General features: G+C 44.8%; 1 protein-coding gene across 7 annotated transcripts in view, besides 2 other annotated features; it reads right to left on the bottom strand.

The window, feature by feature from the left end:
* The window catches only part of MAP3K9 (mitogen-activated protein kinase kinase kinase 9), an 86,988-nt gene that overhangs the window by 43,732 nt on the left and 18,766 nt on the right, over nucleotides 1-24,490 (bottom strand). For 3 of the 7 annotated variants that reach the window (NM_001284232.1, XM_011536792.1, NM_001284231.1), the window contains exon 1: nucleotides 16,966-17,195. The exons of the other annotated variants lie outside the window; for them this stretch is intronic. The gene's annotated coding sequence lies outside the window, so the exon portion shown is untranslated. Of the gene's footprint in view, nucleotides 1-16,965; nucleotides 17,196-24,490 lie in introns of those variants that run through there. 7 annotated transcript variants of the gene reach the window in all.
* Nucleotides 10,387-10,466: an enhancer, noted in NCBI's record as "active region_8662". NCBI's record gives its function as "activates an Ori minimal core promoter by ATAC-STARR-seq in GM12878 lymphoblastoid cells {active_cell/tissue: GM12878}" and the evidence as "EXISTENCE:reporter gene assay evidence [ECO:0000049][PMID:35858748]".
* Nucleotides 14,432-14,521: an enhancer, noted in NCBI's record as "active region_8663". NCBI's record gives its function as "activates an Ori minimal core promoter by ATAC-STARR-seq in GM12878 lymphoblastoid cells {active_cell/tissue: GM12878}" and the evidence as "EXISTENCE:reporter gene assay evidence [ECO:0000049][PMID:35858748]".

Genomic DNA, 24,490 nt, shown 5'->3' on the forward strand with positions numbered 1-24,490 from the left:
TAATGTGACCCTGGACAAATCTCTTAAACTTTGTACCTCAATTCCTGCTTCTACAAAATGGGGATAAAGATTAAAGGCGATACAGCAATAAAGCAACTAGCAGAGTACCTGGCACTTGGAGCACTATAGTTATTATTATAATTAGGTATCCTGTACATAAATGGAAACCATAGGGTTCAGCGCTCAAGGGACTGATATGGAAGGCCTGGCAGTCCCTGACACACAATAACCACGCAATACATTTTTGCTGTATAGATAAATGGAATGCTTGATTAATAATGACACCTACTCATTATGGGTCACTTACTACGTAGCAGCACGATGCTGTTTATGTCCATCACTTTTGTTAATCCTTAAATCACCCCTCAGCAGTAGGTGTAATTATTTTCCCCATTTTATGCACTCCAAACCAGACACAGAAAGGTTAAGTCAGTTGCCCAGTCAGTGAGGGATGGGGAAGGGAATCAAATCCAGATCTGTCTGACTTCAGAACCACATTCTTCACCTTTGTGCCATGCCGTACAGAGGCCAGAAAGAAATCCTATGTGTCTTTAAGCCCTGCCTCCATTTCTGCCTAATCCCTAAAGCTGTAATTGATTAGTCTACCCTGCACTTCTTTTTCCTGAATTCTTCCTTCAGCATCCAAATACCACATAATCTAACACTATATGCACTTCTAATCACTCCTGACTGCTGCATATATATGGGTGTCATCATTTCCGCTAGCATGTGATACAGTATGACTCCTAGAAAGCAAAAACCTCATTCTTTTTCTTCTGGAACCTATGCCATGTCCCCTTTAGGAACCAAGCACAGGACCAGGCTCTTTGAAAGAACTCATCCCGGCTGGGTGCGGTGGCTCATGCCTATAATCTCAGCACTTTAGGAGGCTGAGGTGGGCGGGTCACCTGAGGTCAGCAGTTCAAGACGAGACTGGCCAACATAGCAAAACCCTGTCTCTACTAAAAATACAAAAATTAGCTGGGCATGGTGGCACACACTTGTAGTCCCAGCTACTTGGAAGGCTGAGGCAGGAGAATTTCTTGAACCCATGAGGCGGAGGTTGAAGTGAGCCGAGACTGCGCCACTGCACTCCAGCCTGGGCAACAGAGTGACACTCAGTCTCAAAAAAAAAAAAAAAAAAAAAAAAGAACTCATCTCTTGCTGGTCACATACTTGACCAATGGGATATCTGTGCATCTTCTCAAACTATCCACTTTCCCATCTTATTGTTGCCAGGTATTGGGGTAGGGGGTGGAGGGGCACTGGGAGGAGACTAGAGAAAGAGTAATACCTCAGCCAGGGGTTCACCAGTGACTAACACACCCAGTTAGTGCCAGGTCGGGTAGGGGACACACAGAGAAAGATAACCTGAAGACTCTCAGCTTATCTCAACGGCCTTTCGCCTTCTATAAGGAAAGACAATGTGACAAAAGTGAGTATCAGGTCAAGACAGGGTCTCACTCTGTTGCCCAGAATGGAGTGCAGTGGCACAATCATAGCTCACTGTAACCTTGAACTACTGGGCTCAAGCGTTTCTCCACCTCAGCATTCCGAGTAGCTAGGACTACAGGTGCGCACCACCAACCCCAGCTAATTTTTTATTTTTTGTATTGACCGGTTGGTCTTGAACGCCTGGTCTCAAGCAATCCTCCTGCCTTGGCTTCCCAAACACTGGAATTACAGAAGTGAGCCACTGTGCCTGGCACAAAGACATCATTCTTGATTATTTCCCAATTAGGACACCACCTATATATACCACTTAATATTATTATTTAAATAATATTTAATGGGCATCAAAAAATAGAAAGAATAAGACCTAGTATTTGATAGCACAACAGGGTGACTATAGTCAAAATAATTTAATTGTACATTTAAAAATAACTAAAGTATAATTGAGCTGCTTGTAACACAAAGGATAAACGCTTGAGGGGATGGATATCCCATTTTCCATGATGTGATTATTATGCATCATATGCCTGTATCACAATATCTCATGTACCCCAAAAATATATACACCTATTATGTACCCACAAAAATTAAAAATTAAAAAAAAATTTAAAGAAGAAATTCTATATCACTATTGTAAATGGGAAAGCCAAAAATTCTCCTAACATTGAGTAACCTGTACAAACAAATAAAATGAAACAAAAATAAATGGTACAGTGGCAGACCCGCATATGGTCAAAATGCTGAGCCTAAGGCCTGCCTTCTCTGCTTGAGAAGAAAGATTTGAAGTGTTAGAGAGGAATTACAGACAAACAGCACCAAAATGAATGTTGATCCTCCATTTACACAAAAAAGCTGAATGACTTTCTTTGGGATTCAATGTTGCTTAATGCAGACCACTTAAAATGGTCTCAAGGCCATCCCATTAGGAGGTCAGCAGGAGAAATCGGGGGTGTCTTGCCACTAAGGGATTTGTGAATCTGACCTAATATCATTTAGCTGAGGCCAGGCTCTCAAAACTTGGCATCACTGAGGAGACTCTCCCATTAGGTCCTAATGGTAAACTTAGCTTTGGTTGATGATCTATGTCATTTTCAGATTTCTTATTTATTATTCATCTCCATTAGTACAAGAGGCTTCAATTTGCTAAATGCTCACCTTGGTGCCAAGGCTCATGTCCTCAGGCCTGCATTTGGTTCAGATGATTCAATGCCATCTCTCCTACATTACGTAACTCAGCTAATTTGGTTTTGAGGGTTATGTTTTGTTTTATTTTTTAAAGTTTATTGTTAAACGTATTATACACATAGGAGAGTACATTAAAATGTATACATGTAACATGTACAAATGTATATATGGCTGGGAGTGGTGGAGCACACCCGTAGTCCCAGCTACTTGGGAGGCTGAGGCAGGAGAATGGCTTGAGCCCAGGAATTCAAGGCTATAGCACCACCATGTTTGTGCCTGTGAACAGCCACTGCACTCCAATCTGGGCAACACAGTGAAACTCCATTTCTAAAATTTAAAAATGTATATATGGTTTAAAGAACATAATATGAAAACCCACATAATCCCATCCGGTCCCTTTAGAAGTTCCATGTGTCTCTCTCCACCACCCCCTTTCCTCTCTCCCTAAACATCTGACAACCGTGACTTCTGTTATTCATTTCTTTACTTCTCTTTATGATTTTACCAGCTATGTACACATCTCTAAATAAGATAATGTTTAGTTTTGAAAAAGTGAGTGGCAAACAAAAAATGAAGCTGTGTGTTGTAGCCTCCTAGGGCTGCCATAACAAATTAACAGAAACTGGGTGGCTCAAAACAATAGAAATTATTCTCTCACAGTTCTGGAGGTTAGAAGTCCAAAATCAAGGTGTCGGCAGGGCCATCTCCCTTCAAAGGTTCCAGGGAAGGATCCTTCTTTGACCCTTCTAGCTTCTAGCAGTTGCCAGTAGTTTTTAGTGTCCCTTGGCTCGTAGCAGCGTTAAGTCTAATCTCTGCCTCCATCTTCACATGGCCATCTTCCCTTTGTGTATCTGTCTGCATCTTCACCTAACATTCTCCTATTTGTCTATGTGTCCTTATAAGGACATCGGTCATTGGATTAGGGCCCATCCTAATCCAGTATGACCTCATCTTAACTTGACTACATCTGCAAAGATGGTATTTCCAAATTTCACAGGTTAGGACTTCAACTTATTGTTTGTGTGGAGGGTTGTGGGGGACACTATTCTACCCACAACACCATGGAGGAGTAAAAATACTGCCTTTGCTAAATGAAGCCTTCCCAAAGGGAATAAGCTAAACAGAGTCTCTGGGAAATTCCCATGGAATTTACAAGAGCCCTTCCTGGGAAAGTTGATAGGCAAGATCATGAACAAGTCCTGGAAACACAGGGCAGGTAACCACAGTGGGAACACCTGGTGGTAGGGGTCAAGGTAATTGCGAGAGTGGGACTCTTCTGTATTTTCTGTTTCTTTTGTTTGTTTGTTTTTGAGTCTCAATCTGTCACCCAGACTGGAGTGCAATGGCATAATCTTGGCTCACTGCAACCTCCACTTCCTGGGTTCAAGCGATTCTCCTGCCTCGGCCTCCCATGTAGCTGGGATTACAGGCACACACCAGGACGCCCAGATACTTTTTTTTTTATTTTTAGTAGAGACGGGGTTTTACCATGTTGGCCAGGCTGGTCTCGAACTCCTGACATCAAGTGATCCGCCTGCCTCGGCCTCCCAAAGTGCTGGGATTACAGGAGTGAGCCACCGTGCCTGGCTCATATTTTCTGTTTCTAAATTCACATGGACCTACCTTTAGCATCGAGGGTTGGGCAAAGAAAACACTTCTGTTAATATAAAATGCGTCTATCCATCAGCAGGGCAAGGAGGGGCGACAGAAGCTTCATCAGCACATGAGCAAGACAGCCAAGAGCAGATACAATCTGCCCCAGGCTTCCCCAGGTAGTCAGTCCTCCAGTTAAATCAATGGCACAATGATTGCAGGTAAGTTGGTGATGACATTCTGAGTCACGCTGCTCAGATCTAAGCTGCCCATCCTCTACGTCTGGTACACAGTCCTAAGGGGTTCCCTTCGTCTCCCTCCTGTGTTAATCCCTGTGTCCTGTACCCCACTCCCCTCTTTACTGATTCCTTCCCCTGCTTCGGTGGTGTGTACTCTCCAGTAGTTCCTTAGAAAGGACGCGTAGGAGGTATGTTTTGTTTTATTTATTTTTTTCTGTGCTTGCTGTCTCCAGTCCAGTAACTCTTGTTTTACCCTTTCCAAGAAGAAAAGGCAGTCAAGTGGCTGCATAAAGTAGAGGAGATTCTGTGATATAAAGGGATTGCTTTTTTTTTTTGCTTTCCCTACTGTCAACTTAATTATCTTTCTCAAATGTTCTAAGTCAGTTACCACTTCTCCATCAGTTTTCCAGTCTCCAAAACATAACAGCTATCGTCTCTTCTCCCATGCACCTTGTAGGTTTGCTGTGGCTTTCACTGGGTTTCAGGAGGGAGTAAAGGTAGCTGTAGCATTTCACATGTTCAATCTGCTACCCTAGCATAGAACTGTGCCTTCAGTTTTGTTTTCTTGGGGTAGGGAGAAGGAAACTAGCATATCCTACAAAGGAAACTTTTCAAAGGCTTCCGGCTTTCCATCACTTGGTTCTTCCATCTCTCCTGATATGCAAAATCCATCCTGGGAGGGTGTAATAGAGGAAGGCATATACGTACTCCTGCTTGTTCCTGCCAAAGCCCAGGGCTTAAACTCCAGATCTATGTCACAGCATCCTGTCTCACCTTAATAAAAACAGTCTCTGAGCTACACCAAGGCAGAAAGAAAAAAGCAACAGATGGAGACCCAGGGTGTCTGGGTTCTCGCTCCACCACTGTGTGACCTTCACCAGGCCCCCATTTCCCTACCTCTGACATTCCTGGAGTCTGTAACTCCCTGGAAACTGTGTCAGTCCTTCCCAGGAGCCAGCCAAGCCCCACCATCCATCTGAGCTGAAGAACAGCTAAACATAGGGGGAAAAGGAGTTAGGTGAAGTGATTCTACCCCAGAGAAAAGCCCTATTCATTAGACACAGCCAGCCTTTAGGGCTCCTGAGTGGCACGTGAGATATTTGCTTCCTACAGCACGTTGCCTCCAGTGGAGGAAGGAAGATGATCTCAGACCCAACACATAGCAGGCTCCCTGTTGTGCTGACGCAGCAAGAGCTGCATGAGAGAGCCTGACTCGTGGACCACTACCAGGGAGCCAGAGTGCGGCCGCTGTGCATCCCCCAGCTTCTCCTGGCCCGTGGGGCTCTGCCCGCTCTGTCTCTCCAGGCAAGGCCAAGAGAGGCCAGACTTGCTTACCAAGGCAAATGATTCACCACCTAGACTCCCCGACTCGACCTCAGCAGAGCTGCGGTGCTGCCTAGAGATGGAAGGGAGACGCCAGCAGCAACGGTGGCCCCAGCAGCTTCCGCATTGTCAGCAGAGCTGCACCGGGTTCCACTGGCACAACCAGCAAAGCTATGCTTCCCAACAAGGACTCAGGCACAGCAGCCAAGAGTCCCTGCCACAGTAACTACAGAAAGGTGGAGAGAATTGGCTCCTTGGGGACTTAGGAGTCACTCCCTTTTGGTATAAAAGAGGAAACCAAAGCAAATGAATGGGTACAAAACACCCCTCATAGAGAGAGAGAGAGAGCATTCAATACAGTGACCTTTTCCTGAGCTAGAGTAAAGCTGAACTACAGTGGTCTCCCTTTCTATGCCTATAACCTGAAGAGGAATAATAAGCGCTCAATAAACATTCATCTGGAATTAACAAATGAATGCAAATCATCCCAAAAGGTGTCTGCTTAAATCAGTTTAGGTACTGGTCCCCAGCTACCTGTTCCAGGGCTGGCCATATTGGAGTCCCCTGAGAAGCTACAGTAATGATTTCCAACCTTTCAAAATATGTCCTTTCAGCTGAAAAAAAAAGCCATTATGATGCTATTTGTACTTTTAGTGTGTGTTGATTAAGAAGAAAATAATAACCACAACTAATGTTTATGGAGTCCTTCCAACATACCAGGTGCTAAGCTAAGTGATTTACACCTATAATCTTATTTAATCCTCTCATCAATACGGAAAGTAGGTACTATAACTATGCCCACTTTCAGATATGGAGACTGAAATTCAGGCAGGCTGGTCTACAAGTGGGAAGAGACGAAGCCAGGACATTTCATTCAGCCCAGGCCTGAATGAAATCAGTCAGGACCCCAGACCACCATGCCATATTAAACACTAAGAAAATACTAAACACCCTAAGAAAATGCTTCTAAGTGAATTCATATTTTCTCAACAAAACAGCACCCATGCACATTTGAAAAACAGAAATATTTACACTTTATACAAACACTGTCAAAGATACCTTTCAGTAACCCTCTCCCCAAGGGAACCACTGATCTCAATGCTGCAACTATAAGCACGTTATGCAGAAAGCAGTAGGTCATTGCCCCCAAGGAAGGAATTACCTGTCTGCTTCCATCGCACATCCAAGCAAGTGTCTCAAGGCCTCCAACTCTGAAGGGGTGAATGGGAGAGAAATCTCCAAGTAAGGGTTAAAGCAGAAGGACAGAGTCAGCAGCAGAAAGAGAAAACAAATTGAAAACACAGCAGAAAGGGATTGCTACATTAGCAATCCTGGCAGCATATCAGGGAAGGACTAACAAGGGATTAATGATAGGAAAAGAGCCTGAAATCTGTGACCCAGACTGCTAGTCGCCCTTCAGTGGTTATTCTCCCCTCCTCCCATAGTAATGGAACCCACAATTGCAAGATGGGCACCAGGCCACTCAGAACATTTACTACATTTTCCAGCCTCCTTGTTCTGAGATGTAGCCAGGTAACTAAAAAGTGTCATTGTAGGTGCTTTCTGTAACCTGTCTTAAAAGATTCCAGCTCTAGGCCTTTGGACTTTGTTCTTCATCCCTTTATACACTGTGCTATCTGGAAAGTGAATGTGATAGCTGGAGGTCTAGCTACCATCTTGGACCATGAGGACATGATCATGCCCCAAGAGTTGGCAGAGCTGTGAACGAGAAGGAGGTAAGGCTCATGGAACAGAGATGTCTTGCCAATCACTGGCCATCTCATGCCAAACTTTTACATACAAGAGAGACACTTATTTCAGCTAGTGTTACTTTAAGTGTCTATTTCTCACAGCTAATCTAACTGAATTAATACAGAGTTCAATTCCTACAAAATATCTTGCTCATTACTACAGCAAAACAGACACAGACATATCAAAATTGCAAATCTAAACCAAAACCAAGATCCCAGTCAACAGAGTCTCAGTATGATACAATGAAAGATTTGGATAGCCTCTCCAAGCTGCCGTAAAGTTAATCAACCTGAAATCTATGTTCTATACTAAGTATTGATTTAAACCTTTCAAAAATAATATAATAACCCACATGTACTGAAAGCCTGTATGTATCAGGCACTGTGCTAAATAGGCAAGGGGTGTTCAAATACCGTGTAAATTAAACCAATATCTCCCCTCAAGATCACCAGCCAGGAGGAAGAGTCAGTGAGTGAGAAAGGATAAAGCAGGAGACCTTTGTTATTTATTACAAGGCTTGTAATATATTTCGGCTTTTTAAACTAGATTATGTACACATGACACTTCAAATATTTTATATCAGGCTGGGCGCGGTGGCTCACGCCTGTAATCTCAGCACTTTGGGAGGTCGAGGCGGGTGGATCACCTGAGGTGAGTTCGAGACCAGCCTGGCCAACATGGTGAAACCCCATCCCTACTAAAAATACAAAAATTAGCCAGGCGTGGTGGTGGGCGCCTGTAATCCCAGCTACTCGGGAAGCTGAGGCAGGAGAATCGCTTGAACCTGAGAGGCAGAGGTTGCCTCTGCAGTGAGCCAAGATCACGCCACTGTACTCTAGCCTGCGTGACAGAGAGAGACTCCATCTCAAAAACAAACAACAACAACAAAATGTATGTCAAAAAGGCCAGGCACGGTGGCTCACGCCTGTAATCCCAGCACTGTGGGAGGCCGAGGCAGGTGGATCATGAGGTCAAGAGATCAAGACCATCCTGGCTAACATGGTGAAACCCCATCTCTACTAAAAATATAAAAATTAGCTGGGCATGGTGGCACGCATCTGTAGTCCCAGCTACTTGGGAAGCTGGGGAAGAGAATCACTTGAATCTGGGAGGGAGAGGTTGCAGTAAGCCAAGATCGTGCCACTGCACTCCAGCCTGGAGACAGAGTGAGACTCTGTCCCCAAAAAAAAAAAAAAAAAAAAAAAAAAAAAAAAGATATAATAGGCAGCTTAATACATGTAACTATATTATAATAAAACATTAGTATATAAGATGATAAGCGAAACGTTTTTCTTCACTTTCATCATTGTCGAAATCCAAAATCATCTAGGATAAACATGTGTTTTTGTTACTTTCATAAATTATTTAATAATAATAGCAGCTACTATTTTTTTGCATACCTACTATGTCCCAGGTGCAATACTAGACACTTCACATCCACATTACCTCATGCAGTTTTCATGGCTATCCTGCAAGTTGGGTAGCATCCTCATTTTATAGTTGAGGAAGCTGGGACTCAAAGGGCAAGTAACTTTTCCACATCTAGGAAGCGAAAGAGTCAAGATTTGAATCTTGCTCTGGCTTCTAGGCCTATGCTCCTTTCACTATACCCTGCTGCCCCCTCCATTTGGGGGTCAAATGTTGAGAAGATACATCTCTACAATACCAGTCTCTCATAGGCCACAGTGTATGACCCACAACTTACTTTTATTTGCCTGGGGACAGTCTCATATTATAAATCCACTGGGCATAACCTTGCTGAATCCTACATCCGGAATGGACCAATGCCCATAACACTACTGAACACAGAGCCCAGCACTAGAAGTGGGTCTCTACATGGCACTATCAAGCTAATGGCTACTTCTCACTGGCAGGGACAAGGAGAGAAACCTGTGTTTAGAACAGAAGAGAACTGGAAGAGAAGCCACCAAAGCTATCAGTCAAACCTAATTCTACCTCTAAGTCCACTGCCCTTTCCACTAGAACCCAGGAGGTCCTGGACTAAAACCAAACCACCTGAGTCTTATTTCATATCCTTCTAGGGAAGGGAACTAGGCTTTTATATTTAAATGAGAGTGCTTAAGAAGTTAAGACTAAATATTTGGGGCCGGGTGTGGTGGCTCAAGCCTGTAATCCGAGCACTTTGGGAGGCCGAGGCGGGTGGATCACCTGAGGTCAGGAGTTGGAGACCAGCCTGACCAAAATGGTGAAACCCTATCTCTACTAAAAATACAAAAATTAGCTGAGCATGATGGCGGGCGCCTGTAATCCCAGCTTCTCGGGAGGCTGAGGCAGGAGAATCGCTTGAACCCGGGAGGTGGAGGTTGCAGTGAGCCAAGATCGCGCCATTACACTCCAGCCTGGGCGACAGAGCGAGACTCCGTCTCAAAATAAATAAATAAATAAAATAAATATTTGGGAAGCTCACAGACACTCAGGATCAAACTCTAATAGCTTGGCAAGGTGTGGTGGCAAAAGCTTACCGGCAGGCAGCATCTCCCCAGGCATAATTTAGGACAAATATGTGCTAAAAGCACCATGGCTGAGACAGTAGCTTGTGGCTTGCGGGGAGGGTGTTGATGGGCAGGAGAAGAAACCCTCCTACACTAGGTCTGAAACCATTTCAGAAGTTTTGAGTTTTGCTTTGAGTAGTACAGGCTGGACCCTGCAAATTCAATACCATGCCTCATCCTCTACATGGTATATCCAGATAAACTATGAGGAAGGTCAGTGGGAGAGCTAGGAACCAAAAACTTAAATGTTCACAAGTGTGAGAAAAAAACTAATAAAGCAAAGGAATCCCTACGATCTTAAAGCTCTGCTCTCTCCGTTAGAGATTCACCCTCAAAATAGGTATATATTTGGCGCTAGCAGTAGCAGGTAGGTCCCATATAGCTGTTCACTCGGGCCCCAAATAAAGCATTCTCAACCTAGAACCTCCACTTTGATTTAAAAAAAAATCCTCTCCCATCAGCCCTTAAGACACTAGGCTATAAAAACTATGAAACACCCTGAACTAAAAGATCTCTCACTTTTTTTTTTTTTTTTGAGAGAAGTCTCGCTCTTGTCCCCCAGGTTTGAGTGCAATGGCTTGATGTCAGCTCATTGCAACCTCTGCCTCCCAGGTTCAAATTATTCTCCTGCCCCTGCCTCCCAAGTAGCTGGGATTAAGGCGCCTGCCACCACACCCGGCTAATTTTTCTATTTTCAGCAGAGACAGGGTTTCACCTTGTTGGCCAGGCTGGTCTCGAACTCCTTACCTCAGGTGATCTGCCTACCTCGGCCTCCCAAAGTGCTGGGATTACAGGCGTGAGCCACCACACCCGGCCAAAGATCTCTCACTTTCTACCCATCTCTAGGGCGCTGTTGCTTCGACCAATGCCCACCTCAAAGGGGTAGTCATTTCTCAGGGGAATCTCCAGTTCCTGCCCCCATCCATATCAAATCACCATCCACTTATCTTTTTTCTTTTCTAAAATGTGTGCCCTATCCAATGACTCATCCCCAGAGCAGCAGAAAGCACTCTTAGACAGTGGTGAGAAAGGCTGAGGCTCATATATCAGAAAGGCAAAGAATAAGTGTCCACTCCAAAACCTCTGGACCCCAGCTCCACTGTTCACCAGCAACCATAGTCAGCCAAGGGAGAAGCATTACTCACTGCTCATTCATCCCAGGAAAGACCCTCCTGACATACTCAAAAGCAGAGGGAATGGTTATTTTACAGAAGGAGGGTCTCCTTGCTCCATCACATCCCAGGGTTCAGAAAGTCTTCCCTATCAAACCAGTCTGATGCTATTAAAAGTAGTCAGGGGATACTGGCTGGAGTCCCAAAGCATAAGGACCACTGGTCACCAGAGAGTCACAAGCCCTGGCAAGTCAACTCTTAAGACACTAGATCCTTGGCTGTGAAAAGATATATCAGGACCATGAGGCCCCACCCTGACTAATGCAGTGTCCACCTAGTTCTCTGCGAAGAGACACCAGCACCATGGGTGGAAAGGGCTAAAGCCTCTAAGACATAACCAACATCCAAGACCAGAATTATAATCAGGACAGAATCCAAGATTTCACTCCAAAAAATCAAGATTCCTCCCAGCCAACACGCATGCCTGAGAATCTACCTACTTTGGCAGAAACTGGTAAAAGATACCAACCACTGTGGTTACTAGAAAAGGTCGACAGTCACCTACACAGAAAAAAGGAAAGGAAAAGAGAGGGATAAATAGATGATCCTATAAAGGAAACTAGGACGGAACCTCTCTCTCTCCCTTTTGTTTTTTGTTGTTTGTTGTTGTTGTTATTGTTGTTGTTGTTGTTTTGAGACAAGGTATCACTCTGTCACCCAGGCTGGAGTGCAGTGGTATAATCTCAGCTCACTGCAACCTCTGCCCCCTGCTGCCTTGGGCTCAAGCAATCCTCCCACCTCAGCCTCCCAAGTAGCCTCAACCACAGGCACACATCACCACGCCCAGCTATTTTTTTTTTTTTTTTTTGAGACGGAGTCCCCCTTTGTCACCCAGGTTGGAGTGTCACGACGCGATCTCTGCTCACTGCAACTCCGTCTCTCAGGTTCAAGCAATTCTCATGCCTCAGCCTCCTGAGTAGCTGGGATTACAGGTATGTGCCACCACACCTGGCTAATTTTTGTGTTTTTAGCAGAGACGGGGTTTCGCCATGTTGGCCAGGCTGGTCTCAAACTCCTGACCTCAGGTGATCCACCGTCCTCGGCCTCCCAAAGTGCAGGGGTTACAGGCATGAGCCACTGCACCAGGCCAAACTTCTCTCATTCTGGCCATATAAGTCTACACCTATAACACTGTCATCATCATTGCTAGCATTTACTGAGCACTTACCACATGGCAGGCACCATGCTAAGCATTTTACGTGCAGTACTTATATAAAAACAGATGTACTGTTTTAATCTCTATTTACGGATATGTACTGTTTTAATCTCTACTTACAGATGAAGAAGCTGTGGCTGAGAAGTGAGGATATTCCCCTGAGCTACCCAGCCAGAAAGTGGTAAAGTGGGGACCACTGGCTACTCTCATGCTCTTGATGATGCCTTACCCTACCCCGTCCACCCATCTTGTTTGAACACCTAACATGGAGGATGCCTGAAACTAGAATGTACAGAGGAAGGGGCTCCTTAGAAGGGGCTCACAGAATAAACAACTGCTCTCTGTGCTGTAACGAGAGGACAGGGTTTGGTCCAGGGGGAGAATCAGAAGAAAGACCACTCCCAGCAGAGGGAATAACGTGAGTCCAGGTCCAAGAGGGCTGAGGGGCCTTGACATATCTAAGAAATAGTCCCTTGTAGCTGGAGCAGAACTTTCATGAGGTAGAAAGGGAGAAGAAGGAGCCGCAGTGAAGGGCTGGGGCAGGACTGGAAGACTACAGACCCTGCCAAGGAACTTGGAAATGACCCTGGAGTCACAAGTAGTTTTTAAGCAGAAAAGTGTTGTGACAAGATTTGAGTTTCAGCAAAACAACTATGGTTGCAGTGAGACAAATTAAACTGAAAAAGCAACAGACTGGCAGTGAGCCACAGTAAGTAACCTATTACAATTGTCCAGGGGACAATGGTGAATGACAAACTCAAGTACTGGGGATGGAAAGGATGGGACAGTCAGACAGAGTAATTAATTTCACATACACGGAGAAAGAGTGGTCCATGAGTCCTAGGAAATCTCTCTGACATCACATCACTTACTTGCTCTGGCTAAGTCCCTGTATGTCACCAATCTCACAGGAATATACTAGCATTTAGTGAGTTCAGCGGGGTTTAGTGGTCCCACTCCTCCTACCTCTAGGCTAACATTCACCCACCCACTCTTCCCTTCCAACAGGAACTGAAGCTTCTGCAGCCACAAACACCTAGAAACAGGGTTCCTTCATTTTCAGTTGTAGCTACCAACTCACATATTACTGACTGCTACTAACTAGACCAGATGCAATTCCACAGTTCTGGCATGCTGAGAACAGCCACTCCTTGCCAACGCGGCTCAGTCCTGCATTCATTTGGGACATCTCTGGCAAGCCCCCAGGTATCAGTGCAATGCACTTTGCAATGTCAGCCAAGGGCATGCAGCAAGGAACTCAGGGAATGGCACAACCTAAGAATGACGTCAGAGGAGACAGAACGGATAGATGAGCTTCCTGGGGCTGGCTAGTGTCTTGATCCTTCAGACAGGCACCCAGGCCTTATGCAAAGTTTTCAGACAGGCTGGTTAGTTAACAAGATTGGGATACTAGGGTGATAGTTTGAACCAGGCCACTCCCAAACAACTCTGGCTGGCCATAATGTGCATATGTGTTCTGGGGAACAAGGGAACAAATCAGATGTATTCATGTGGACCAGCACTGGAGAAACAACCCAAAGCACCAGGCTTCCTCATAATGTGCCCACATCCATGCCTGCCGCATGACTTAACAGCATGAGGTGTGGATTTCTGCTGCCTTGTTGGGCTGGAGGATAGAAGGAGACATGATAGGGAACTAATATATTTATAGGCCTCCTGTAGGCACAGCACAATTCATCAGCCTTGAAAAATGACTCCTTTAACCAGCCCCAACTTTCTATGGGAACTTCACTTTCATCTCTTTCTTGGAGGCCGTACCCACTTCCCACATCTCCCATGCTGCTGAGTGAAAGGTTCTCATGATTAAAACAGAAGAATAAGCACCATCTCCCTGACCAAACCTCCCACGTGTCTGCAGGACACCTAGCTCTCTCTAACATCCTAAAATATAACTGCTTCAAAAGGCGTCAACTTGGACACCTACAGCCCTTGCCATCTTGTGCAAATTAAGCCCAGAAAACACAGCTGGGACTCCATCCCTCACCTCATCCAGGCGCAGATATCACCAGCAGGAAACAGAAAGCCAGAGGCTTTTGTGCAGCCACTTTCCTTACTAAAGAACATCTCCTTAAACACCTGCCTCCCCTGAATTTTCTCATCGTATCAGCTCAAACTGACTGAGAAGAGCTGCCAGATCTCCGTCATACCTCTGAAGTACCCAGCTACATACCAGATAAAAATAACCAAAAAAGAGGAAGCCTATCAGATGCTCGATGGTTTTGTCAACAGAAAGCAGTTCTTTCTTGGCAGGTGGCCATGGGGTGCAGCCGCCGCACAGGCTCTCCAGGGCCTTGTATCCCCAAGCTCTGCTAGCAGAGTTCCCTTAGCAGGCATGGAAGGTTGCATTTTCAAAGTGGTCCATCATCTCCCATCCTCTGTGCTTTTCCCCAGTGTGATCTTGACACTTTTCCCACTGAGAGGTGGGTCTGTGTCCTCTCCACTTGAAGCTGAGTGGTCTTGAGACTCACTTTAACAGAATGCAGAAGAAATGACAATGCCCGACTTCTAAGCTAGATCAGAAAAGATGCTACAGCTTCCCCATGTTCACTGGAACACTTGGGTCTGCAGCCTTGAGCCACTATGTAAGGCCAAGAGCCCTAAGAGAGCCATGCTCATGGACAGACTGCACATGGGCACTCCCATCAGCAGTCCTGGCCTCCAGCTTCTCCCAGCTCAGGCACTGAGCCATGTGTGTGAACAACCTTCAGATGGTTCCTGCCTCCATCTGCAGCCTCCCCTAGCCTTCAAGTCTTCCCAGGTGAGGCCCCAGACATTGACAAGCCATCCCTAATGAGCTCTTTCCAAATTCCTGACCCAAGTCTCCATGAGCTTAATAAAATGTTCTTGTTTGGGGTCGTTTGTTCTGAAGAAATAGTAATGGAAACAGTAGGTGATACACTGTGAGTCTAGTCTCATATCTGCTGCTGCTCTTGAATTTTTTAAAAAGGAAAAACTACCTTTTACTGAGCATTTACTTTGTGCCAGGCATTATGCTAAGGGTTTACACACATAACTTCATTTAATCCTCATTATAATGCCATGAGTAAATACTAGAATTATCCCCATTTTACAGAGGAGGAAATGGGCTCAGGGTCGAGGACTTTGCCCAAAGCCAGGTCTGCCTGATTCAGAGCCCACAACTGTACCAGCCCACAACTGTACCAGCCCAGGTTCTCTGGCCACTTAGAAAGAGGAGCTGTTTCACATGGAAGACTCAACTTCTTGGGAGCATGGCTTTCCTAGTCAACATTCCAGGTCTGGGAATTGCCTAAAGAACCCAGGTGATGGGACATGGCATCAGTGAACACTTGGCTCTGTCTGAGCTGGGGCAGGCCGCCTTCCCTGGGAGGTCATAGCTATGGCCTACCTGCCCTATTACCAACTCTTGAATCCTACCCCTTCTTTGAGGCCTAATTGTTCCATCAAGGCCTCCCAGGGAATTCTGCCTTCTCCAGACCCCATCTCATGTATCTTGACACGCTGCCCCCTACTACATCACACTGTTCTGGTTGTTTAGGATGTGTTTACATAGCACAACTCCTAAGGATGGAAAGAATGCAGTGGAAGTGACCTCTATGTTATGTATATAATAAATTGACCGTATTTCTTACAGCATGTATGCAATAGCAGGCACGTCAATTTCTTATGAGGACATTTGGGTAATAAAATTACCCACATCGGTTGAGAATCATGATCTATACAAAAAGAAAACATTCCAGGCTCTGTGACCTGCACTTCACCCCAGGCATTGCAGAGGAGAAAGGATTTGAGGGCAGAGGAGGAAGCGGTACAAGCCACCACAGATACCACCTTCATCCCATCACCTTGCAGGCAAGGAAGTCCCAACCACAAAGGCTCGAAACACTGGGAGTTGCCATTGTGAACCACAAGTCCTTAATAGCCCTGGAAAGCTATGAAACACCAATTAAAGTTTCCTATGAATCACTTTTCAACCTCTCCATGTAAGAGCAGGGAGGAACCAACCTCAAGTACCTCCTCAGGCCAAGACTAGCTTTGCTCTGACTCACTGTCTTTCAGTCTATGATATGGATGCTTTTCTAATTCCTTCCTCCCACCTCCATGTCCATTGCATGGGGAAGATGAGACTTCCTAGCATCTTCCTAGTCTACCTCTGAATATTACTCTACAAATCCTGTTCCCCATGAGACAGAGTTGAGGATCTCACCATGGTAGGGAAAATTCAAAACTATACAAATTCTCTAGATGTTACACCTCAGTTTCCAGGTGAAAGCCAGTCCTTTCCTTCCTTCCCTGCTACCTGGAAGGTGGGCATAACAGGCATACCCAGAAACTGCTGGGAAAACGCTCAAATGCCGTGTTCTCTGCCTTCAGTGAATGCCCATGTAAGGAAAAGTCTTAGAATATCTTATTTTTCCTCAGTGGGGTCACTTTTACTCTTCCTGGAAGGTCATTATCCCAGTCTCTCCACCAATATACTACACATCAAATCAAGCATCAAAATGCTTGTAAGAAACCTAAAATTGGCCAGATTCATGGTCCATGCAACTAGAGTCAAGCATATAAAGCCACAGACTCACATGTTAGAAGCCCAGGACAGTACTGTGTCCAAACAACGGTAAGGTGGGAAGGAAGACGGCATCCTAAAGTAAATTCAAATTAGTCTGACTCTTATTTTTCTTGAGCATCCAAAGGTTTCATATGATCCACAGCAACGCTTCCTCAAATACCCCTTTTTAATTCCATCCACTGTCCTTATAGAAAGAAGCTCCCTCATTTCCTGCTCAAAATTCCTCCCAAAAGAGCTCCTGAAGGATTCACTCTTTGTCCCCTCCCCTTTCCTCCCATCACAAAGCTCTAAAGTTCCAGGAGCAGCAAAATCCAAATTCTCTTTGTGAGGTGGGCGAAGGAAATAGCCGGGAGGCTTCACTCATTGATAGTCCAGGTGTTATTCCACCAGCAATCAATCCAAATTGGAGCTTCAAGGAATGAACAGTGAAGTCAAATTTGTCTTTCATAGTATTCATCTAAAAGTGTTAAGTGGGCACCACAAAGCATGCTCAGCGCTCCTCCAGGAGGAATGGAACTGCTCTCTTGCTCACGCATGGTCCATTTGGCCATAAATTCAGCTGCAAAGAAACACCCCAGAAAGGCCCGCTCACCTCCCAGACTACACAGAGCTGAAAGACGTGGCATCTGAATAACCACACAGGGCTCTGCAATTAACAGACGTGTCCAAACCCTTTTTGAATGTTTATATTACTTTTCTGGTTAAAATTTTTTAAATTCCATAAACAATCATCTGTGAATGTATCTGAAATCTATATATACTTCTTTTGTTTAAACAAAAACAAACCACGGCCAGGCGCAGTGGCTCACGCCTGTAATCCCAGCACTTTGGGAGGCCGAGGCAGGCAGATAGCCTGAAGTCAGGAGTTCGAGACCAGCTTGACCAACATGGTGAAATTGCACCTCTACTAAAAATACAAAACTAGCTGGGCATGGTGGTGCATGCCTGTAATCCCAGCTACTTGAGAGGCTGAGGCAGGAGAATCGCTTGAACCCGGGAGGTGGAGGCTGCAGCAAGCTGAGATCGCGCCACTGCACTCCAGCCTGGGAAACAAGAGCAAAACTCCGTCTCAAAACAAAAAAAAATACTAAAATAAATAAAATAAAATAAAAAACAAAACCACAACACAAACACAAGTAAGTACAAGAGCCCAATAACATGGAAGCTTCTGCGATGGCCCAACTTCTGGACAGCTGTATGCAAGCACAATTTTGGTTCAGGACAAACACTAACAAGAAGCAAAGCTGAAGCCGGGCACAGTGGCTCATGCCTGTAATCCCACAACTTTGGGAGGCCGAGGTGGGCAGATCACTTGAGGACAGGAGTTCAAGACCAGCCTGGCCAATATGTTGAAACCCCATCTCTACTGAAAATACAAAAATTAGCCAGGTGTGGTGGCAGGCGTCAGTAATCCCAGCTACTCAGGAGGCTGATGCAGGAGAACTGCTCGAACCCGGGAAGTGGAGGCCACTGTACTCCAGCCTGGGAGACAGAGTGAGTGAGATGGAAGAAGAAGCAAACCTGAGGCTACAGAAGGATGGCTGAGGTTCAAATTGTGCTTTTGGAGGGGCCCTGGGGAAAAGAGAAATGAGAAACTAGCTCTCAGGTCTTGTGCATTTTAGGACCATCAGGTCTGGAGGTACCAGAGGTCCTGGGTTGGAGAAATAAAGGATCCCCTATCTGTAGTTCGAAATGTGGGGATGATCTACCCCACAAAGTCCCCAAGACCAGGTTTAATGTCCAGGTCTAGCCCTGTTGCACCCAGACTCTGGTGAGTCACAGGGTCCGTCCTGCAGAACAAGGTGCTAGAGAAGGATCTCCTATTGCAGTCTGTTTCCAACAAGCAGAGCAGAAAGAAAACCATGCAAGCACTCAAGAGCCTGGTATTTGAGTCCAGGCCCTATCATTCTCTAGCTATGTGTTCTTGGGCAGGGCATTGTTAAACCTCCCTGAGCCTCAGCTTCCTCTGTTATAAAATGGGGATACTACCACCTCTTCCTGGAGTACCTCAGGTAGATACTGTTTCAAATAAAATTCTAAAGGACCAAATACAAAGCATGATTACAGGAGTCCCTCCTTATCTTCAGGGGACACATTCCAGGATCCCCAGTGGATGCCCCAATCCATGGATAGAACCCTGTATATACTGTTTTTTCCTATACATTCATACCTATGATAAAGTTTAATTTATAAATTAGGCACAGTAAGAGATTAACACTAACAATAAAATAGAACAACTATACTATAAGAAAAGTTTTATTAATGTGGTTTCTCTCTCTCTCTGAAAAGATCTTGTTGTACTGTATTCGCCCTTCTTGTGACGTTATGAGATGAAAAAATGGGTACGTGATGAGATGAAGTGCGCGGTAGATGACATAGGCGAGGTGACACAGTGACACAGTGTTTGGTACTCCCAACCTTCTGATGTGTAGTCAGAGGATCGTCTGCTTTGGATGACCCGGGATCATTGAGTTGTGACAATGTCAATGGTTGGATGTCAGGACAGACCATGTGGATGACTAATGGGCAGGTAGTACACCCAGTGTGGACATGCTGGACAGGATGTGATTCACATCCCACACAAGAAGGGGTGGGAAGGCGTGAGACTTCATTGCGCTACTCAGAATGGTGTGCAATTTAAAACTTATGAATCGTTATTTCTAGAATGTTCCATGTAATATTTCTGGACCACAGTTGACTATGAGTAACTAAAAACAGGGAGAGTGAAATGGCAGATAAGAGGGGACTACCATACTCTTTCTACTACCTCTAGGACTATTTGGGGGATGAAGGAAATGAGGGCCATGTATTACTGTCACCATGAATAATAAGCCAAGGAGAGTATCAGATAATATCAGGTTACACTAATAATCTTAAGTCATCTGAAGCTTATGTGGGAAAATTTTACGTCCTTAGTTGATTTTCCATTGCCATCCATGGGATGTGATGTGGCATCTCCCCTTGTCACTAGCTGCTGTGCATTTGGGCAAAGCAAGCTATTTTATTATTAATTTAATCCAAATACTTAGTAAGGGTAGGTCTCCTAAGGCAGGGGAGAGGGGAAAACAACTCTCTATCACACAACTGTGCCAATAACAGGGAGATTATTAACAATCCACTCCAGGATTCCCATCTATCTCTCAGCGGGGATTCCTATCTCTAAGCACAGGGAGCCAGGAGTCTACTGCTTAAGAAATAAAAAATGTTTTTATTATTCTTTTCTTCCTAAAAATTGTACCACCTAGAAGAATACTGAACACTGTTATCCTTCTACATAACATACCAAAGACCGAGTTCATGTTAGTAACCAGGAAAAACACTGACTTCACCCCAAACTTTGACCTTGGGACCTTACAAGGAAATTGTCCCCCTGGTTCCTCGAATGGGGTACAGATCCTGTTTCCACTGTTGTCTGAAATACTTTGGTCCTAGCTGGAAAGCCTGGCAGAGTAACAGTGTTCCATTGTCGGGCTAAAAGAAGGAACACTATCATGAGCATCAGGATGACCTTAGGCAAGTCACTCAGCTTCTCTAGTTCACAACTGTAAGGTTCCAGTAAGCTCTAATCATATCTATAAGCAAAAAAGAAAGTCAAGAATGACCAGAATCCAAAATCTATCGCTATTTTCCCTACCCACAGTCCTTTTCTCCTTCCTCTTATTTATTGTTTTTATTTTTAGTTTTTTGGTTTTTCTTGGTACTCACTGATTAAGGCATCCTCCTTCCTCTTGGACCCTGAAGGTTAACAGAATGCAGAAACAAAAACAAATTTTAAGTGTCCAGATGGCATGTACACCGTGAATAAAACAGCAGGAGGAGATGAGGTATATAGATAAGAATAGGAAAGCCAAATATAAAGATGAAAACAGTTGTATCTGCACACTGGAATCTAGCATAACTATTTTTTTTTCCTTTTTCAATGATACTTTTTCCTGTTATATTGCCTCATAAGCCACATCAGCTTGCAGTCACAAGGATTTGCAGAGAAAGATCTTAACTATAAGATCAGTCACTGGCTGGGCGCAGTGGCTCACACCTGTAATCCTAGCACTTTGGGAGGCCAAGACGGGCGGATCACAAGGTCAGGAGTTTGAGACCAGCCTGGCCAACATAGTGAAACCCCGTCTCTACTAAAAATACAAAAAACTAGCTGGGTGTGGTGGCGGGCACCTGTAATCCTAGCTACTCGGGAGGCTGAGGCAGGAGAATCACTTGAACCTCAGAGGCAGAGGTTGCAGCAAGCCGAGATGGCACCACTGCACACCAGCTCGGGCAACAGTACAAGACTCTGTCTCAAAAAAAAAAAAAAAAAGATCGGTCATTGCCAGCATCCTGATGCCCACCTGCTGCAATGGGCCCCACTCCCAAACCTGCTCCAAGGGATGGATGGACAGTCAGTACCTTCACAGCTGGGCAATTCCAAAGACACACATTGGGCTTCTGACTTTACAAGCTACTCCAAGGAACACCTTCCTCTAGGGTCCCAAGCCCCTGAGAAGTTTATGAAATAGATATATAAAAGCAAAGGCTTGAAGAGAACAAACAAAGCTCATTCAGTAAAAGTGTTTTGAGTCCATCCAGAAAGGAACTAGGGACAAAAAAAAACACACAAACAAAACAAGATTTTTTGGTTGGCCACATTGGAATTGCCACCAAACACCTGGGCTGCTACATGCGAAGTCCTATACTAGGGATGATGTGAGGGGAGACAGAGATGGGGGGAGCAAGGGAAGACGAAGGGATGAAAAACAGCAACACCTCTGCTGTCCAGAATTCTATTGGGATTTCTATGTTTTCATAGAAAAAAAGTTATCAGAGACAAAAAGATACTTAATCGCATTTGCCTCTAAGAAGTAAACTTAGGGTTTGGGAGGGAAGGACAGAGACTTTTCTTTTTTCTCTCTCTTTTTCTGGAGACAGACTTTTCTTTGTATTTCAATTTTGTCCTATTTTTACCCATGTGTATCCACTACATTTTGAATTTTTTAAATTCTACAGTACAACTGGAAAGAATATGACTAAAACAATGAAAATGCAAGTACAAGACAAAAGATACCACCCAAAAATATAATCACCAATTGTGATCTAAATACTAAGGGAATAAGTGTAGCAGATGGAATTATAATTAAAATGGTCAATATACTGGGTGCTTATTACGTGCCAGGCACTCCTAAGAACTTCACCTAGATGATCTTATTTAATCCTCACTTCTACCCCGTAAGATGAGATCGGTGGTATTATCATTATTCCCGCTTTACATCTGCAAAAGCTAAGCCACAGAGGGTGTATCATTTGCTCAAGGTCCTTAGCTAGCAAGTAACAGAGCCAGGTAAGACTCAAATCCAGTTTCACCCACAGTTCACATGGGCTCATCCCCAAAAGAAGAGAGGGTTCACATCCTAAATGAGGGCTCTAAAGGAGAAGAGGTGTGGTGTTGTTTGGAGAATGTCTATGCGGGAAGGAGGTATGTATGGGAAAGACACAGTGCTAGAATCTGTGATTATCAAAACTATAAACATTTCTTAAGGACCTACTAAGTGCTGGACACAACCAGATTTAGAGAGTAGCTGTAGGAAACAAAGCTCTTATACAGAGATGAAAAAGGGCCAGACATGCTCCGTTTACCTTCCAAAACAAGACCACAAAACTCAAAATAAAATCTCTTCAATCCACCCTGAATACTCCAGAGTCTTAAATGACACTGTGTAACAAGAAAGCTAAGTTGACATAGGGAGGCCAGGAGAAGATGTGAAAAAAGCAGACTAATGCAGCAGAGAAGGGAGGGAAATAAATATATTGCCTTCCTCCTGGGGCAAAAGCATTTTAATTATCAACTGAGAGTCCAGCAGAGCCATAAAACTGGCCAGCTGTCCCATTCAATCAAGCCAAAGGCTGTAACAGACAGGACGAGGCTGCATTTTTCAGAGGACCAAGCACTTCGAGTTAAGGCTGAGTCCAGAGGGTTCAAGACGCACGGGCCGTTTCCACAAGAGGCTTTTGCACAGTTAGAAGGGGCTGGTGGGGCTCAATCCCTTTCAGGGGCTTCAGCAGAATTAAATCTGCCTGTTTCGGTGGGAATAGTAAAACTATGCCTGGCTGGCTTAGGAGAGGGCTACTCAGGGCTGCCTAAAATCCTCTTGCACCACTTTAAAAAGGGAAATTCAGCCATATCCTGTGTGCAACTAAAATAACAAGGAATGGAAAGAAGTTTCTCCTACTCCTTAGAAAGGAAAAAAAGCACAGTGCCATTTACTGAATGCAGTGCCTGTGTGATACTGACACATAATAGCTCATATCATCTTAAAACAGTACTGCTCATTTCTGTGTTGTTCATATTTTACGGATGAGATTTCCTGTGACTCCAAGAGGTTGGCCACGTGCCCAATGTCAAGTGCTCAAGAAGTAGCTTAAATCCAAGTCTATCTAACTCCCAAGGCGGTGTTTCTTCCATTAGACCACGGTGGTTCCCAAAACCAATCTTAAGGGGAAAATGTTTTCTTCTCAGATCAAAACCTTCAAGTTTCCTATAGAGAGCAAAAACTTTAGGGAAGTTAGGAGGGAAAGGGACATGCAACCCACAGCTTTTAATATGTCTAATGTATATGTCTCACTCTTACAGTATAGTGGATCACACAGGGGACATGTTCTTCCTGTTATTCTGCAGGTCAGTGGGGATATATGAGGCACACAATTAAAGTCGCCTAAGTGACCTTGAGCCCCACCTGGAAAAGCCCTATGTTGTTTCAAAAAAGTGAGCAGGAAGCAAGTGTAAATCAAAGCAGCAGCAAAGCTCCGAGACACCAGGATGCCCCTTGCTTAGCTCCAAGGACAGAGTAGCAGGCGACTAACTGTGTCCTGCTTCTAGGAGGAAGGCTGTCCTTGGATTATTGTGAATCTCCAGGATGGTTCATGTGACCAGAGCATCTTCTCTCAGCAAGGCCATCTGTCATGCCCTGAGCAGCAGTGGGGGAAGGGGACCACTTGTGGGCTCCTGTCAACTGTTTTCTCCACTAAACCACTCAGCAAAGATTCCCTTTCAGTAGATTCAGCCCAAGCCAGAACAAGCCCCGAAGTGGGGAACCTGAGCACATAGCAGCCTGACATGCACAGGCAGACAAACCGTGTAGTCACTAACATTCCCAAATACACAGACATTCATGCTTTAAGTCCTGGGCAGGACCTCAGAGACCACCTGTCCAAACCCCTCATTTTGCAGATGAAGAATCTGAGGTCCAGAGAGATCACAGACGTGCCCAAGGCCACCCGGCCAGTCAGTGTCAAGGACAGCCCTGGGGCCCACGTTCTTTCCACTGCACCAGAACACCTCTTACACAGATGCCCAATTTAAGTTATCTGTAATGATATTGATTCATAACCTTCTCTGAGTCTTACAATAATAAGAGCCCTGACCTTTTCCCTCCAAAATGAATGTATCCACATTTTGCATGGAACCATTTTGCGTGGTTCCCTGGCCCTATGTTAATCTTTACATTATAAGAGGAACAAAGTGTGGTTCTACAAGAGGCTGTCAGGGG

This window comes from Homo sapiens, chromosome 14, assembly GCF_000001405.40.
Source record: "Homo sapiens chromosome 14, GRCh38.p14 Primary Assembly".
NCBI classification, from domain to species: domain Eukaryota; kingdom Metazoa; phylum Chordata; class Mammalia; order Primates; family Hominidae; genus Homo; species Homo sapiens.